This window comes from Homo sapiens, chromosome 4 (genome assembly GCF_000001405.40).
Source record: "Homo sapiens chromosome 4, GRCh38.p14 Primary Assembly".
NCBI classification, from domain to species: domain Eukaryota; kingdom Metazoa; phylum Chordata; class Mammalia; order Primates; family Hominidae; genus Homo; species Homo sapiens.
The window spans coordinates 25,517,757-25,534,278 of record NC_000004.12 but is presented as its reverse complement, the minus strand read 5'-3'; the positions used below and the strand labels follow the sequence as shown (position 1 = coordinate 25,534,278).

The window sequence follows — 16,522 nt, the reverse complement described above, 5'->3', positions numbered from 1 at the left end:
GGTGTGTGCCACCATGCCCGGCTAATTTTTTGTATTTTTAGTAGAGATGGGGTTTCGCCATGTTGGCCAGGCTGGTCTTGAACCCCTGGCCTCAAGTGATCCACTTGCCTCGGCCACCCAAAGTGCTGGGATTATAGGCGTGAGCCACCGCTCCTGGCCTAATCAGGGACTTTTGTTTCTTTCCCTGTTTACTTTCAGAATCACTTCTTTGCCCATAAACAACTGTGAGCCAGACAGTCCTGTCAATGGTCAGAGATTCAGTGCTCAACAAGTGATAAGTAGGCAAGCTCTGGCATCTCCTTCCTGCGGCACAAAAATCTGTGCAAGATTTATGAATCTTAAATGTCCACAAACCATGGAAAATATTAAGTGGAAAGCAGATTACACTATTTCGTTGTTAAACACATTTTGATATATCCACAAAATGGAATGCAACCATTAAAAAACATGATGTTAAAGAGTTACGAATGGTTTATTATAATGTAAAGTGGGAAAAAATGTGTGTGGACATTATTAATAATAATTGACATTGGGAGATGAGATCGTGGAGAATTTTTTTCTTCTTTTCTGTACTTTCTTGTGTTTCCAAAATTTTCTTTAATTAGTATTCAGGGTTTTTATGATTGAAAATATGGGCTGGACGTGGTGGCTCATGCCTATAATCCAAGCACTTTGAGAGGCCAAGAAGGGCGGATCACTTGAGTCCAAACCTAATGACAACTCAACTTTTCAGGGAAATGCAAATTAAAATTGTTCTGAGATGATCACTACACATTCACCAGAATGGCTAAAATTTTAGAGCCTGACAGTCGCAAGTAGGAGCAAGGAAGTGGAACCAGGGAACAGTCAAGCACTGCAGATGGCAAGGGTCCAGTGGGTGATTGGTAAAACCATTTGGCATTATCTACTGAAAACAAATGCCTGTCCAACACCTGGCAAATCCACTTCTAGGTATAAATTCAAGAGATATAAACACATATATCTACAAAAATATGTGTACATGAATGATTATAAGCAGCTTTAAAATTGAAAGTAATTAGTAGCCAAAACCAGGAAGCAGCCCAATGGCCATCAAGAGGAGAATGAATATTGTGGTCTGTCCATACAATAGAACACCACACAACAACAACAAGAACAACAAAAGAACAAATGACTGTTACACAGAATGACAAGAATGGGCCGGGCAGTGGCTCATGCCTGTAATTTCAGCACCTTGGGAGGCTGAGGCCAGAGGATTGATTAAGGCCAGGAGTTCGAGACCAGCCTGGGCAACATGGTGAAACCCCATCTCTACAAAAAATATAAAAATTAGCCCAACATGATGGCAGGCAACTGCGGTCCCTGCTAGTTGGGAGGCTGAGGTGTGAGGTTCACCTGAGCCCAGGAAGTTGAGGCTGTAGCGAGCCTCGATTATGCTACTGCACTCCAGCCTGGGCAACCGAGCAAGATTCTGACTCAAAAAAAGAATGACAGGAATGAATCACACAGAGTGTTGAGTGAAATAAGCCCACACAAGAGAATAATACACAGTGTGCATGATTCAGGAGTGTGATAAAGACAGCTCATACTAGCTCATGAGAACAAATTATTACATACATTTTTAGGAATTTTGCAATCCAATCATTAAATACATGCTTTATTTAAAATTAAATTATAAACTTACAACTAAATAAATTGCATATAAAGGTAGTAAACTCAAACCTCTTCACTTCCTAATAATTTTACCACATTTTTACTCTTGTCTATGCAATTGAGATTATTTGCATCTATTCTATTTGGTGGAAAAATATATATAATTGTGTTGTACTGTACATATATTTCCAATACCATGTTCAATAATCACACCTTGATTGCTTCAAATCAGCAGTGGCAATTGCTAGAAAAATTGACAAAGGAGGGCCGGGCGCTGTGGCTCACGCCTGTAATCCCAGCACTTTGGGACGCCAAGGTGGGGGGATCATGAGGTCAGGAGATCGAGGCCATCCTGGCTAACACGGTGAAACCCGGTCTCTACTAAAAATACAAAAAATTAGCTGGGCATGGTGGCGGGCGCCTGTGGGCCCAGCTACTCAGGAGGCTGAGGCAGGAGAATGGCGTGAACCCGGGAGGCGGAGTTTGCAGTGAGCCGAGATCGTGCCACTGCACTCCAGCCTGGGCGACAGAGCAAGACTCCGTCTCAAAAAAAAAAAAAAAGAAAAATTGACAAAGGTACGGATCAGGGCTCCTCCTCTTCCTCTTCCTCCTCCTCCTCCTCCTCCTCCTCTTCTTCCTTCTTCTTCTTCTCCTTTTTCTTCTTCCTCCTTTTCTTCTTCTTATTTTCTTTCTTCCTGTTCTTCTTCTTCTGCTGCTTCTTTTTGTTTTGAGAGCTGGTTGTCAGACATGTATCAGTACACCACTGCTATGATTACGTTTGTATGAAACTCACATATGGAGGTTAGTAGGCAGAAAGGAGATTACCTGGGGTGGTGCTGGGGGATCCTTCCCAGGATGAGGCAGCAGGAACCTTACAGAGTGATGGTAATATTATTCTACATTTTGATCATGGTGGTGATTCCATGGGTATAAACATCTGTATGCACTTTCTCTGGGTGATACCTCAATTTTTAAAATAATCTTTTTAAAACATGGGGTCTTGCTATATTGTCCAGGCTGGTCCCCCAACTCCTCAGCTCAAGTGATCCTCCTGCCTTGGCCTCCCAAAGTGCTGAGATTACAGGCATGAGCCACTGTAGCAGGCTAAAATAAATTTTAAAAAATTTTCAAAACAGTTACCCTGAAAAGAGCTCCCTCTGTAGGAAGGTGGGAGGTCTGGCATCCCCACAAAATTTCATGTTCCATCTTCATGGGGCAGCTGATTTACAAGGGACCCTGGAAGGAGAAAGAGTCCTTTGTAACTATTTCCTGTGACTAGACCATGAGCTTGGAGGACAGGACCTGCATTGGCTTAAACTTTATAACTGGCCAATAGTCCCCCTCAGTGCAGATAATAATGATGGCTAATGCTAATGCGTTTTATTGAGAACTGTTCTGAGTGCTTTGTATGAGTTAACTCAATCTCCTTAAAATGTGAGAGGATTTTATGATTCCATTTTTCAGATTAAGACAACTGAGGTTAAGGGCCTGACTCCAGATCACACAGCAAGGGAGATGGCAAAATCAAGATTTCAACCCAGGAAACCTGCCTCCCATGCCTATGTTAATCACTACACCCTTCCCACAATAAATAATCAAATAAGCTATTAAGTTGTTAATTAATTTGCAGTGGATAACATGGTGTGGCCCCCACTTCTGGGTCTTCTGACTTATATCTGTGAAAGATAGATGAAGGTTCAAACACTTGGGCTCAGTCACCTGCATTCCTACCCTTACCTACATGGCAGGTGTATTGCAGGACTTGTCTGATCTGAAGTTAAACAAAGGGGCAGTAGACATAAGTGACTGTAAAAGACCCAAAGGAAGAGACCCGAATGGCAGTTTTGGGTGCAGTTTGGTTGACTGTGCCAAGGGAGGCCCTCTGTTCCATGAGGGAAGTGGAAGCTCAAACAGAACACATCACAGCGCATTATCGCTGAACTCACCAGTTGAGTCCCATGCCCACAAGGAAAATATCGAAGTCTAAATATGTAGCCCCATTGCCCCTGGAAATTAATTAGCCTAAGCCCACCCTGTCTGAGCATCTGATTCTCCTTGCACACAAATAAATCTGCAGCAGGACCCGGGCACCATGAAATCCACTCTGAAATCACCTCCTAATTAGTTTGGGATGATTGATGGAATCAGTAAGCCAGACCTTGGATTTGCTTTAGGATCACAGAGCCCTTGGTTTTATGGGTGAGAAGACTGACATGCAGAGAGGAGCTGTCAAAAGGGAGGGTCCTCGTGAAATAGATAAGAGAACTTGGTCTCCAGACCCACCCATTTAGCTGGTGCACTGTCCAATGAGCATGGTGCCAAAAAGTGCTGCTCCAGTATCTAAGATCATGCCCTTGGAGCTATGACCATGGCCTCCACCAAAGCCCCATGCCACCATGACTGCTCCATCTCAGCAATGGTATTTGTTGAGTGCCAACAAAATCTGGGAAAGCAAACCAGAGCCAGTCTCCGGGTGCAGATGGTGGCAGGGCTATGCAGTGTGCTGAGGGAAGATTGCAGGGATCTACTCCTGGAGCTGGGGCTAGGGCTCAAGGGAGGACAGGGCAGAGCCCAGTTGGATCCTAGCGGGGTAAAAGTTCCATATCCCCTTAGCCTTCCTCCAAACCTGCATGCAACCTCTTCTCTTTTGGACGCTGTCTCCTCTCTCCTCTCCTCCCCTCTCCTTCCCTTTCCTCCCCTCCCTTCCCCTCCCTTCTTCTCTCCTCTCTTTCTTTTCTCCTTGCTCTTATTTTCCCTGTTTCCTCATGAGACAGCAGAAATAAATCAGAATGCTACAGTGCAAACAGGTTCTGGAGTTACATATATCTGCCTGAGACCCTGACCAGCTTACTCACAGGTCCTAAGTGTTCCTTGTCTGTCAAATGGGAAGGCTCATGGGATTATTAAAGGGTTTGGAAGAGACAAACGTATATATACACGCATGCATTGCTTTTTTAAAAATGTGATAAACTCACCAAGAAAAATAATAACAAAGTCTCCTTTATCATCTCCATCCTCATCCTTCTCCCACCCCTAGAAAAAGAGGTTATGCTTTCAATTCAGAAATGTTGCCCCTGGACCCAATTCAAGGACTCTGGATTTTTAGGGCCCTTGATCTCTCAGTCTTTACATAAGATGGTCCCTCGGCCTGGAACTACTTTCTCCCTCTCCTTCTTCATCTGGCTAATTCCTACTGACACATTTGACACATTAAGACTCAAGAGTCTCTTCTTCCCGGAAGCCATCCATTATCAAGAAATCCTCCCCATTCCGGAGTCCCTGAGCTGACCTCTTTCTAATCATACCTGTAAGCCTGGGGACACAGACACATCACTGAGAGTTTCTGCTTGGCGATCCCTTTCTCAACTGTCATTTGATGGGGGACATGAGACCTTCATTAACCATAGTATCCACAGGTCCAGCAGGGCACTGGCGCAGAGTGGGTGCTGTGGATGAATATCGTGGGGCCCAAAACAGGGCTATGAAATGTACGAATTCACCCTGAAGTGTTAGTGCTTAAGATTGCCTTTCCTAGTGACCGTGCTTACAGCAGGATGAAGGAAAGGCAACACAGAAAGATAATCTGCTAGTGGTAAAATTTCTGGTACTAGTGGAAGATAGATAAGCACAAAGATGGGGGTCTTTGCTAAAGCCCTTGAGATAAGAGACACAACTTTTCCACCTGGAAGGAAACTAAGCAGCCATCAGACTTATTTATTTATTTATTTATTGAGATAATAATCTCAATAAATACATTCAATAAATATATTTTGTTTATCCATTTATTTATTGAGACGGAGTCTTGCTCTGTCACCCAGGCTGGAGTGCAGTGGAACAATCTCGGCTCACTGCAACCTCCGCCTCTGGGGTTCAAGCGATTCTCCAGCCTCAGCCTCCCGAGTAGCTGGAGTTACAGGCATGCACCACCACACATGGCTAATTTTTGTATTTTTAGTAGAGACAGGGTTTCGCCATGTTGGCCAGGTTGGTCTCCAACTCCTGACTTCAGGTGAACCTCCCACCTCGGCCTCCGTAAGTGCTGAGATTACAGGCGCGAGCCATCGCGCCCGGCCGGATTTCAGTTGTTTTTCAGCTGTGCTCTGTGGATTTCCTAGATTCCTGGAAAGCATGGGGAGTGGGAAGGGCGGTTCCAGATTCCCCTCCCCCAAGTCTAGAAACGAAACTCTGCTACTATCTGAGCTTGAGTGCAAGATTTTCCATTCTGGGCTTGTGTGAGAGATTTTGTTTGAAGAAAGAGCTCTGTTAATGGAAAAACCAAAATATATATATATATTTGTTTGTTTGTTTGTTTGTTTTTTAGACGGAGTCTCGCTCTGTCGCCCAGGCTGCAGTGCAGTGGCGCGATCTCGGCTCACCGCAAGCTCTGCCTCCCGGGTTCAGGCCATTCTCCTGCCTCAGCCTCCGAGTAGCTGGGACTACAGGTGCCCGCCACCACACCCAGCTAATTTTTTGTATTTTTAGTAGAGAGGGGGTTTCACTGTGTTAGCCAGGATGGTCTCCATCTCCTGACCTCGTGATCCGCCCGCCTCGGCCTCCCAAAGTGCTGGGATTACAGGCAGGAGCCACCGCGCCCGGCCTTCTGTAAAATATTTTAAAGAGGTTTGCTCTGAGCCAATAGGAGTGACCAAAGCCTGGGAAAACACAAACCCAAGAAGCCTCGAATGAGGGGTCCTGAGGCGGTTAGGACACAATTCTGTTTTACACATTTTAGGGAAGTTTAAGTTATAGAAAAAGTCATAAAAAATCAATACATAGAAATTAGGTCGGGTACAGTGGCTCACGCCTGTGATCCCAACACTTTGGGAGGCCGAGGCAGCAGGATGACTCGAGCCCAGGAGTTTGAGACCAGCCTGGGCAACGTAGTAAGACCTGCCTCTACAAAAAATTCAAAAATAGTCAGGTGTGGTGACATGCATCTATAGTTCCAGGTGCTCAAGAGGCTGAGGCAGGAGGATTGCTTGAGCCCAGAAGGTAGAGACTGCAGTAAGCCATGATCACATCACTGCACTCCAGCCTGGGCAACAGAGCAAGACCCTATCTCAAAAAATGAAAGAGAAAAGAAAAAAAAAAAAAACACATGGGGGTTATACACTGGTTTGGCCCAAAAAGTCAAAATATCTTGGGACTTACAGGTTATAGGAGTTTTGTTTGTTTGTTTGTTTGTTTTTTTAATAGAGGCAAGGTGTCGTTGTTGCCCAGGCTGGTCTCAAACTCCTGAGATTAAATGATCCTCCTGCCTTGGCCTCCCAAAGTGCTGGGATTACAGACATGAACCACCACACCTAGCCTAGAAATTCTTTAATGTGCGATTGGTTGAAACTTTGTCTAAAAATATGGAGTCTGTAGAAAGGAATGTTTTAAGTTAAGATAAAGAAGTCTCTTGCCTAATACACTGTGTCAGAATGACCTGTAGGCATGGTAAGAGTGTATGACTTCACTCTTGTCTGGCATGGCCTTAGGTCCTGTTTATAATTTAGTATTTTGTCATCATAGTCTGTTTTGTTAATCATAATGATCTCTATTTTAACATAATGTTGATTAAGTGCCTACACTCCAAAAGGGAGGGGATGTAACAAAGGCTTCTTTGACCTGCCTTCCTGTCATGACTGGGAATTAAGTTTTTAAGATTTTTTTAAGATTTTTTAATTCTTTTTTTTTTTTTTTTTTTTTTTTTGAGACAGAGTGTTGCTCTTTCGCCCAGGCTGGAGTGCAAGTGGTGTGATCGCAGCTCACTGCAACCTCCACCTACCGGGTTCAGGCGATCCTCCCGCCTCAGCCTCCCGAGTAGCTGGGACTATAGGGTGTGTGCCATCATGCCCAGCTAACTTGTATTTTTAGTAGAGACAGGGTTTCATTGTGTTGGCCAGGCTGGCCTAGAACTCCTGACCACCTTGGCCTCCCAAAGTGCTGGAATTATAGGCATGAGCCACTGCACCTGGCTGGGTTTTTAAGATTTTTCTAGCCGGGCACGGTGGCTTACACCTGTAATCCCTGCACTTTGGGAGGCTGGGGCAGGTGGATCATGAGGTCAGGAGATCGAGACCCTCCTGGCTAACATGGTGAAACCCTGTTTCTACTAAAAATACAAAAAATTAGCCAGGCATGGTGGCACGCACCTGTAGTCCCAGCTACCTGGGAGGCTGAGGCAGGAGAATCGCTTGAACCCGGGAGGTGGAGGTTGCAGTGAGCCAAGAGGGCTCCACTGCACTCCAGCCTGGGTGACAGAGTGAGACTCCATCTCAAAAAAAAAAAAAAAAAGAAAAAAAGAAAAGGAAAAAGAAAAAACAATTTTTTTCTAGGGTCCTCTTGGCTAAGAGGGGGTCCGTTCAGTTGGTGAGGGCTTAGGATTTTATTTCGAGTTTACAGTTTTATTGCAAAAAAAAAAAAAAATCGACCTTGTCCAACTCACCTATTTTATAGTTGAGTATGCCAGTAGCCCAAAATGACACAGTAGATGCCCGGATCTTTCCCTTTTCCCACCAGTGCTTATTTCACTACCTGCATTGGTCTCCAAAACACATTGCACTCAGCAGGCTGCCCGCAGGCAGGAAGGGCTCCTGGCATACCCCACACCTCCAGGGCAGTCTTCTGGCCATAGGGCAGTCTTCTGACCATAGGCCTCCCGGGTCCCTTTCCAAAGTCATCCTCCCTTAAAGAGGAGGGGCAAGTTGATAGGGCAAAACCATCTGATCTTACTGTTCTCTTATTTATGTATTTATTTGAGACGAAGTGTCGCTCTGTTGCCCAGGCTGGCGTGCAGCTCACTGAGTAGCTGGGATTACAGGCGCCTGTCATCACACTCGGCTAATTTTTGTAATTTTTGGTAGAGATGGGATTTCACCATGTTGGCCAGGCTGGTCTCCAACTCCTAAACTCAAGTGATCTGCCCTCCTTGGCCTCCCAAAGTGCTGGGATTACAGGCGTGAGCCATCACGCCCGGCACTGTTCTCTTTTTTAGATGACAAAACTGGGGCACAGCTTCTGTAGCTCATCCTTAGTGAAACCCAGGTCTTCCTGACTCCACTATCACACAAGGCTGAGTGTTCGCCGGGTAATGTGGACACTGTGTGTTGAAGGAGCTCAGAGAAGGCTGTTTGGGCTGGAGCTGAGGAGGAGAGAGGGATGGCCATATGAGGGTTGGCGAGCAGATTCCCAGGCCCATTGAAAATGAGAGAAAACACCATGGCCTGCTGGGCGCGGTGGCTCACCCCTGTAATCCCAGCGCTTTGGGAGGCCGAGGCGGGCAGATCATTTGAGGTCAGGAATTCCAGACCAGCTCTCTGGCCAACATGGTGAAACCCAAACTCTACTGAAAATACAAAAAATTAGCTGGGTGTGGTGGCAGGCACCTATAATCCCAGCTACTCGGAGGCTGAGGCACGAGAATCACTTGAACCCAGGAGGCAAAGGTTGCTGTGAGCCGAGATCGCGCCACTGCCCTCCAGCCTGGGTGACAAAGCCAGAGACTCAAAACAAACAAATAAACAAACAAACAAACAAACAAAACACCATGGCCAAGGGTGAGCTTCAGAATTACAGCTGCTGCTTCCTGAGCCTCTGGGAAAAAAAAGAAAAAGTTTCAGTCATCACTGTTTCAGTGTTCCTCCTGCTAAGACCATTTGGAATAATTCTCTCTGTAAATGTTAAGGTCCTTCCGGGTGCTTATATCAAATTAAATATTGCCTACTGACTCAGGCCTGCCTGCCACAGAGCCAAAGAAGCAACGCAAATAAAAGGCACACAGGGCTCTATCATCCTGGGGATGTTTTCTTTATTTGTATCTTCTGGAAACCAGCTGACTGAAGACAATAGTCCTTTAAGGATTTACCAGCAACTAGGGCTGTAAATTACCATAGGTTCCTCCTGAAAGCCCAAGACAAAATCTTCCCCAGGGAGAAAATAAACAAGAGCTATTTCTTTTTATGTGAATCCTGACTCTTCAAGTGCCCTTTCCTTCTAATAAGATTTTTTGCATTTTTCTCCAGGCCTCCAGTTTGTCTTCATTATTGTTAAATGTGGGAAATACAGTCCTGTGAGCTGAGCTCAAGTCAGGAGCCAGCTGAAGTGTGTGAGATGCCCTCAAAAGAAATAATAGTAACAGCTAGTGCTCTTGTAAATACTTTACCTGAGAGAATGTATTTAATGCACAGGAGAACTCCATGGGGTGAATGCTGTCCTCATAATCCTCATTTTAGGGTGAAGGAGACGGAGGCACAGACAGGTTGAGCCACTTTGTTCAAAGGCAGAAAGTGTGCGAGAAGCAGAGCAAGCTTCAAACTCAGGCAGTCAGGATCCCAAGCCATAATCTAAACTACCATGCTCCACAGTCTTTTTTATTATTCTTATTATTTTGAGGCAGGGTCTCATTCTGTCACCCAGGCTGGGGTGCAGTGGTGCAATCACGGCTCACTACAGCCTCGACCTCCTGGGCTCAAGCCGTCCTCCCACCTCATTTTTGTTGTTTTTTTTTTTTTTGAGGTCTCACTATGTCGCCCAGGCTGGTCTCAAACTCCTGGGCTCAAGCAGTCTGCCTGCCTTGGCCTCCCAAAGTGCTAGGATTACAGGTATCAGCCACCGTGCCTGGTCCGCCCCATAGTCTTGTTGTTTTGTTTTGTTTTGAGACAGAGCCTCACTCTGTCACCCACGCTGAAGTACAGTGGTGCGATCTCAGTTCACTGCAACCTCTGCCTCCTGGGTTCAAGCGATCCTCCCACCTCAGCCTCCCAAGTAAGTAGCTGGAGTTTCAAGAGGTGCGCCACCACACCCGGCTAATTTTTGTATTTTTAGTACAGACGGGGTTTCACCATGTTGGTGAATAGGCTGGTCTCAAACTCCTGACCTCAAGTGATCCGGCCACCTTAGCCCCCCAAAGTGCTGGGATTATAAGTGTGAGCTACTGTGCCCAGTCCACCCCACAGTCTTAAGCGCTTAGTACAACTGCAGGTCAGGGTGCTCCTGCTGGAGCAAAGCAGAATCCACAAGATAGTGAGATGACTGGGACCTTGTCCAATTTCATTGAGAAGGGTGAGTAATCATTCCTTTGGACTGGGACCAGTATCGATTGGAAGGCTGACTCTGACATTTACTAGTGGTGTGACCTTGAGCAAGCTGCTTTCTCTCTGAGACTTCCTTTCCTAATGAGTGAAATGGAGGTGTCAGTATCCCCGTCTGTGGGGCCCTTGCTGAGGATGAAAGCATGAGCACACTGTAAGCAGCCAGCTGCTGTGGATTCCTCCCCTATCCTCTTGTGCCCACCCCACTCCTAGCCTTTATTAAACTAAAAGCTGCTTCCTTGAAACCTTCACCTTTTGACACTGCTTAGATCCTATATTCGTTTGCTAGGACTGCTATGACAAAGGACAACCAACTGGGTGGCTTAAACAACACAAATGCATCGTCTCAGTTCTGGAGGCTAAAAAGTTCAAAATCAAGGTGTTAGCAGGGTTGGTTCCTTCTGAAGACTGTGAAGGAGAATCTGTTCCAGGCCTTTCTCCCAGTTTCTGGTAACCTCAGACACTCTTTGTAGATGACATTCCTTTTCCCTGTGGCTTCGTAGCATCTTCCCTCTATCTTGACTGTCTTATCTGTCCCAGTATCTGAATTTCCCCCCTTTATGAGGGCACTAGTCATATTAGATTAGGACCCCCTTTAGTGACCTCATCTTAATCATCGGCAAGACCCTATTTCAAATTAGATCACATTTACAGGCAGTGGGGAGTTAGGACTTCAATATCTTTCTTTTTTTTTTTTTTTCTTGAGACAGGGTTTCATTCTGTTACCCAGGCTGGAGTGCAGTGGCATGATCTTGATTCACTGCAACCTCTGACTTCTGGGCTCAAGCAATCCTCCACCTCGGTCTCCTGAGTAGCTGGGACCACAGGCATGAGCCACCACACCCGGCTAATTTTTTGTATTTTTGGTAGAGACAGTGCTTCACCATGTTGGGTAGGCTGGTCTGACCTCAAGTGATCCACCTGCCTCAGGCTCCCAAAGTGCTGGGATTACAGGCATGAGCCACTGCACCTAGCCCAGGACTTCAACATCTTGTTGGGGTACACAATTTGACCCATAGCATGCCTCATGAATTATGCCAAAGAAGTCGCCTTCCTGCTCCAAACCTCAGTACTTGGGACACCTGGACACAGCTATTATGTCTCCTGTTAGTCTCCCCATTCCGTTTCTGGAGAGATCTTTCTTATGTTCAGACTTCTAGAGGATCTCCTTTTAAATGCCAGTCCCAGGGCACAACAGGTTTCTCCATAGGCAGCCCATCCACCAGGCAACATGAGGAATCTACCACTTCCCAAGAAAGAAAAACTTTTGTTCAATTAATGCAGGCAATCAGGCTGGTTTCCCCAGCCTACCCATGCAGCTGAATTTTTGAACTTGGGTACAAGAGTTTACATTTAAGGCTAGGTGCAGTGGCTCACGCCTGTAATCCCAGCACTTTGGGAGGCCGAGGCGGGCAGATCACTTGAGGCCAGGAGTTTGAGACCAGCCTGGCCAACATGGCGAAACCCCATCTCTACTAAAAATACAAAAATTAGCTGGGTGTGGTGGCTGTGCCTGTAATCCCAGCCATGCAGGAGGCTGAGGCAGGAGAATCACTTGAACCCAGGAGGCAGAGGTTGCAGTGAGCCAAGATTGCGCCACTGCACTCCAGCCTGGGCAGCAGAGCGAGACCTTGTTTCAAAAAAAAAAAAAAAAGAAAAAGAAAGAGTTTACATTTAAAATTGATTGGTTAAAATAGAATCTAATGATCCCAAAGAGTTTTTGTTTTGTTTTGTTTTGTTATTGTTTTTGTTTTTTAGTTGAGACAGAGTCTCGCTCTGTTGCCCAGGCTGGAATGCAATGGCATGATCTTGGCTACCCAGATCCTCTATCTCCTGGGTTCAAGCGATTCTCCTGCCTCAGCTTCCCAAGTAGCTGGGATTACAGGAGCCTGCCACCATGCCCAGCTAATTTATTGTATTTTTTGTAGAGACCGGGTTTCACCATGTTGGCCAGGCTGGTCTCAAACTCTTGACCTCAGGTGATTCACCTGCCTCGGCCTCCCAGAGTGCTGGAATTATAGGTGTGAGCCACCGCAACCAGCCCCAAAGAGTTTTGAATCTGCATTTCATCATCTGTTATGTCCCCCATCCCTCTCAATGTTGTTTCATCTGAGGGTCAAATCAGTATACCTTTCCTGCCCTCCTCTTGTTGTGACCAAGCGAGTTACAGAGAAATACCACACTTTGAGACAGATTAGAGAGTCCTTCATTAGCCGGCGACCGAGAGGCAGCTAACGCTCAAAATTCTCAGCCCCGAGGAAGGGACTAGTTTTGTTTCTATACTGTGGTCTAAATAGGGGAGTGGGGATTTTAGCTGAAGCAATTTTTACAGAAGCAGAACTGGCAAAAAGTTAAAAAAATTAATTGGTTACAAATGCAGTTACAAAAAAATAAACAGTTCCAGGTGCAGGGGCTTAAACTATCACAAAGAGATAAATGCAGGGGTTTTGGGTGCCATCCACCGCGCGCATCCCCAGGAGCTGCTGGTGCAGTTTGCCTCAATATCTTATCAGTAGGTGCATTCCTGGACGTGCTTTGAGTCAGTTTACACTAGTTATGCCTTAAGGGAGGGAGGTGAAAGGGGGCTGCAGGCGAAGAAACTAAAATGGAGTCTGTCCGGCTCTCTCTCTGCTAGGAGAGAGTCACTCAGGTTAAAACAAGGTAGGGTATCACACTCTTTAAGTCATCAAGAAGAATATTGGGAGTATGCAACCCCTCAAAGAGGGTGACATCTCTCCAAGGGGGCAAAAAACCTTTTACTCTTTTTATATAGAAAGCACAGATAGGCGTACGGTCCATAAGCAGATTGAAGGTGTATCATCTGTGGTGTTAAAATTTCATAAGGGGGGTGGGTATTCAGGAAAAACAATAAGGGTCCTCAGGGGAATGATAATTTTTTAAAGTTTGAGAAACAGTAGTCTAGAGGATAAAGCTCTGGACAAATATCACATGAGTCTGCTGGACATCTCCCCAGAGCTGCCAGACCCCTCAAATGACATGGCTCTAGCTGCAGCAGGGCCTTCTGGCTCCATCAGGGCCAGCTGACCATTTTCAGATAGGTAGGGATGCAGGAATGTTTTTTTTTGTTTTCGTTTCTTTTCTTTTCTTTTCTTCTCCTCTCCTCTCCTCTCCTCTCCTCTCCTCTCCTCTCCTCTCCTCTCCTCTCCTCTCCTCTCCTCTCTTTTCTTTTCTTTTCTTTTCTTTTCTTGAGATGGAGTCTTGCTCTGTCGCCCAGGCTGAAGTGTGGTGGCGCAATCTTGGTTCACTGCAACCTGTGCTTCCTGGGTTTAAGCAATTCTCGTGCCTCAGCCTCCCAAGTAGCTGGGACTACAGGTGCACACCACCCACAACTGGCTAATTTTTGTATTTTTAGTAGAGATGAGGTTTCACAATGTTGGCCAGGCTGGCAGAAATGTTTTCATATACACTAAGACATTGTGCAACGATGCCTTCTTCAACAACTAAGAGGGCACAAGGATCAATGATCAATTCACTCGAGCTCTAAATGGGCATTAAATCATTATCGATTCATTCATGCATTCATTCATTCACTAAATTTGAGTGTTCTAGGAGCTGGGGATACAACAATGAACAAAATAGATTTGTTTTAAAAGGTCTTCACTTTCATGGAGCTTACAGTCTAGAAAAGGTTGAGATATGGGGAAGATAGACAATAAAGAAACAAACAAAAACTAAATTGTATTGTCAGATGGAGATGAAGTGCCAGGAAGAAAAAAAAAGCCTCTTAAGAGCTGTGGTCTGAGGGGTTTTTAGGGAGGTAAAACCATTCTGTATGACACAGTAGTGACAGATACATGTCATATTGCATTTGTCAAGACCCACAGAGCCATGCAACATAAAGAGTGAACCTCGTGTAAACTATGAGCTGTAGTTATTCATGTATCAGTATTGGTTCATTAAGTGTAACAAATGTACCACATTAATGGAAGATGTTAATAATGGAAGAAACGGTTAGGAGCTGCAGGGGAGGTGGGGAGGGCATGTTGAACTCTGTACTATCTGCTCAATTATTCTGTAAATCTAATACTGTACTACATAAATAAAGTCTAGTAACTTTTTTAATGCCAGAGTCTGAGCCCATGCAAAAAAAAAAAAACAAAAAAAAAAAACAAAAGCCACAGAGAAAAGAAAGGGCACCACCGGTAGGTTTGGAATCAGAAAATTTGGCAAGAAGAGAGTTGAAAGGGGTGTGTGTATGAGTGAAATTGACTTTGGCCAGGTGAAATGAATCCGTGTGCCAATAGGAGTCAGGTGAAATAGTGCAACTAGGAAGAAACAAGAGGAAATTGATTCCAAGAGATGCTGCGGAACAATGAGAGCAGAAGAGCTCAAAGAAGCAGCGCATAGCAGTTTTGAAAAGAGCTTTAATGATAAAATATAGAAGCCACAACTACACAAGGAGGAGAAAAGAAAGAAGTCAAGCTGTGATCAATTTTAAAGGGAAGTTCTGTGCTAGAAACAAGGGCGATGGTAATCATGCACATAGAATTTAGGAATTAGGAGTGGAGAGGAAATTACATGCCATTTTTATCCTTCTCTCAGACATGATTTCCAGCTTATAATTAATTAGAATTAGTTTTCTGAGTTTTCCCAGCTATACCAAACTGTGAGAAATAATAATGAAGAAAAGGAACATTTCATTATACCTAGATTAATTCATCACAGGAGTCTAAACAGCTGACAAATTTTTCATTGCAGGGACTTGAAAGGCCACATGCTTGCAATAACAGAAGACTTGTAAGGAAAGGAATCAGACCTATGGGTAAGCTAAAGGCAGGAGTGACTTCATCAATCCATAAGCAGCACAAGTGAACATTGAGTCTCTATGCCCTACATATCCCAGAAAAGCTCTAGGGACTGTCAGTTACACACAAGGGGCACAATCCTGCCCCTGCCCTCAGGGGGATTATAGTCTTATTGGAAAGACTAGACTTGCTCACCTGAAATACAGAGAATAAAGGTGAATAAAATAGTATTTCACTCAACAGATAGAAGAGAGTGAGTGCTATGGACTGCAGGTGTGTGTCCCCTGCAAATTTGTATGTTAAAGCCCTAGTCCCCACTGTGATCGTATTTGGAGCTGAGGCCTTTGGGAGGTAATTAATGTCAGGTGAGGGAAGAGGGTTAGCGCCCTCATGATGGAATTAGTGCCTTTGTAAGGGGACGAAGGGACTAGTGCATTCTCTCTCTCTCTCTCTCTCTCTCTCTCTCTCTGCCATGTTAGGATACAGCAAGGTGTCTTTCCACAAACTAAGAAGAGAAACCTCTCCAGGAACCCCATCAGTTGGCACCTTGATCTTGGACTTTTCAGTCTTCAGAACTGTGAGGAAATGTCTGTTGCTGAAACCATCCAGTCCATGGTGTTTTTGCTGCAGCAGCCCAAACTATAGCTCAAAATAAAAAGGGAAGTCAGATTATGTGGGCTAAACTATGCTTCTACTTTCTCTCCAACAAGAGAAAGTGAGCAAAGAATGGAGACTTCAGGAGGTTAGGACTACTGCAGCGACTATGGTCCTTTGGTCAAGGAACCCAAGGATGACATTGAGATAGAGATACCAACCAGATCAGCAGTTCTCAAATGAGAGAGGCAACCTCACATCACCCTCAACCCCAATAGACTTCTCCTATCCCTGCTGTTAGCCAAGTCTTCCCTTCTGCCCAGAGAGCTCTCAGCCTTCTCTGTGTTCTACACAGCCTTTAAAACCAAGTTCAAGTTCCAACTCTTCGACAAAGCCTAACATTGATCTCATCTTTCTCAGAATTCCATCGATACACATGATGTATACCATTTGCTT

At 45.1% G+C, this 16,522-nt stretch overlaps 1 long non-coding RNA gene across 1 annotated transcript in view, besides 1 other annotated feature; it reads left to right on the top strand.

Annotated features, from left to right (window-relative positions):
• Positions 1-3,239, top strand: part of LOC101929161 (uncharacterized) — a 38,307-nt gene extending 35,068 nt beyond the window's left edge. Inside the window, exon 4 of the long non-coding RNA NR_134641.1 lies at positions 3,097-3,239. This is a non-coding gene — a long non-coding RNA (uncharacterized LOC101929161). The remainder of the gene's footprint in view (positions 1-3,096) is intronic.
• Positions 8,340-8,840: an enhancer, noted in NCBI's record as "H3K4me1 hESC enhancer chr4:25527061-25527561 (GRCh37/hg19 assembly coordinates)". NCBI's record gives its function as "activates a minimal SCP1, AML or CMV promoter by ChIP-STARR-seq in naive H9 embryonic stem cells {active_cell/tissue: H9 hESC(naive)}" and the evidence as "EXISTENCE:reporter gene assay evidence [ECO:0000049][PMID:30033119]".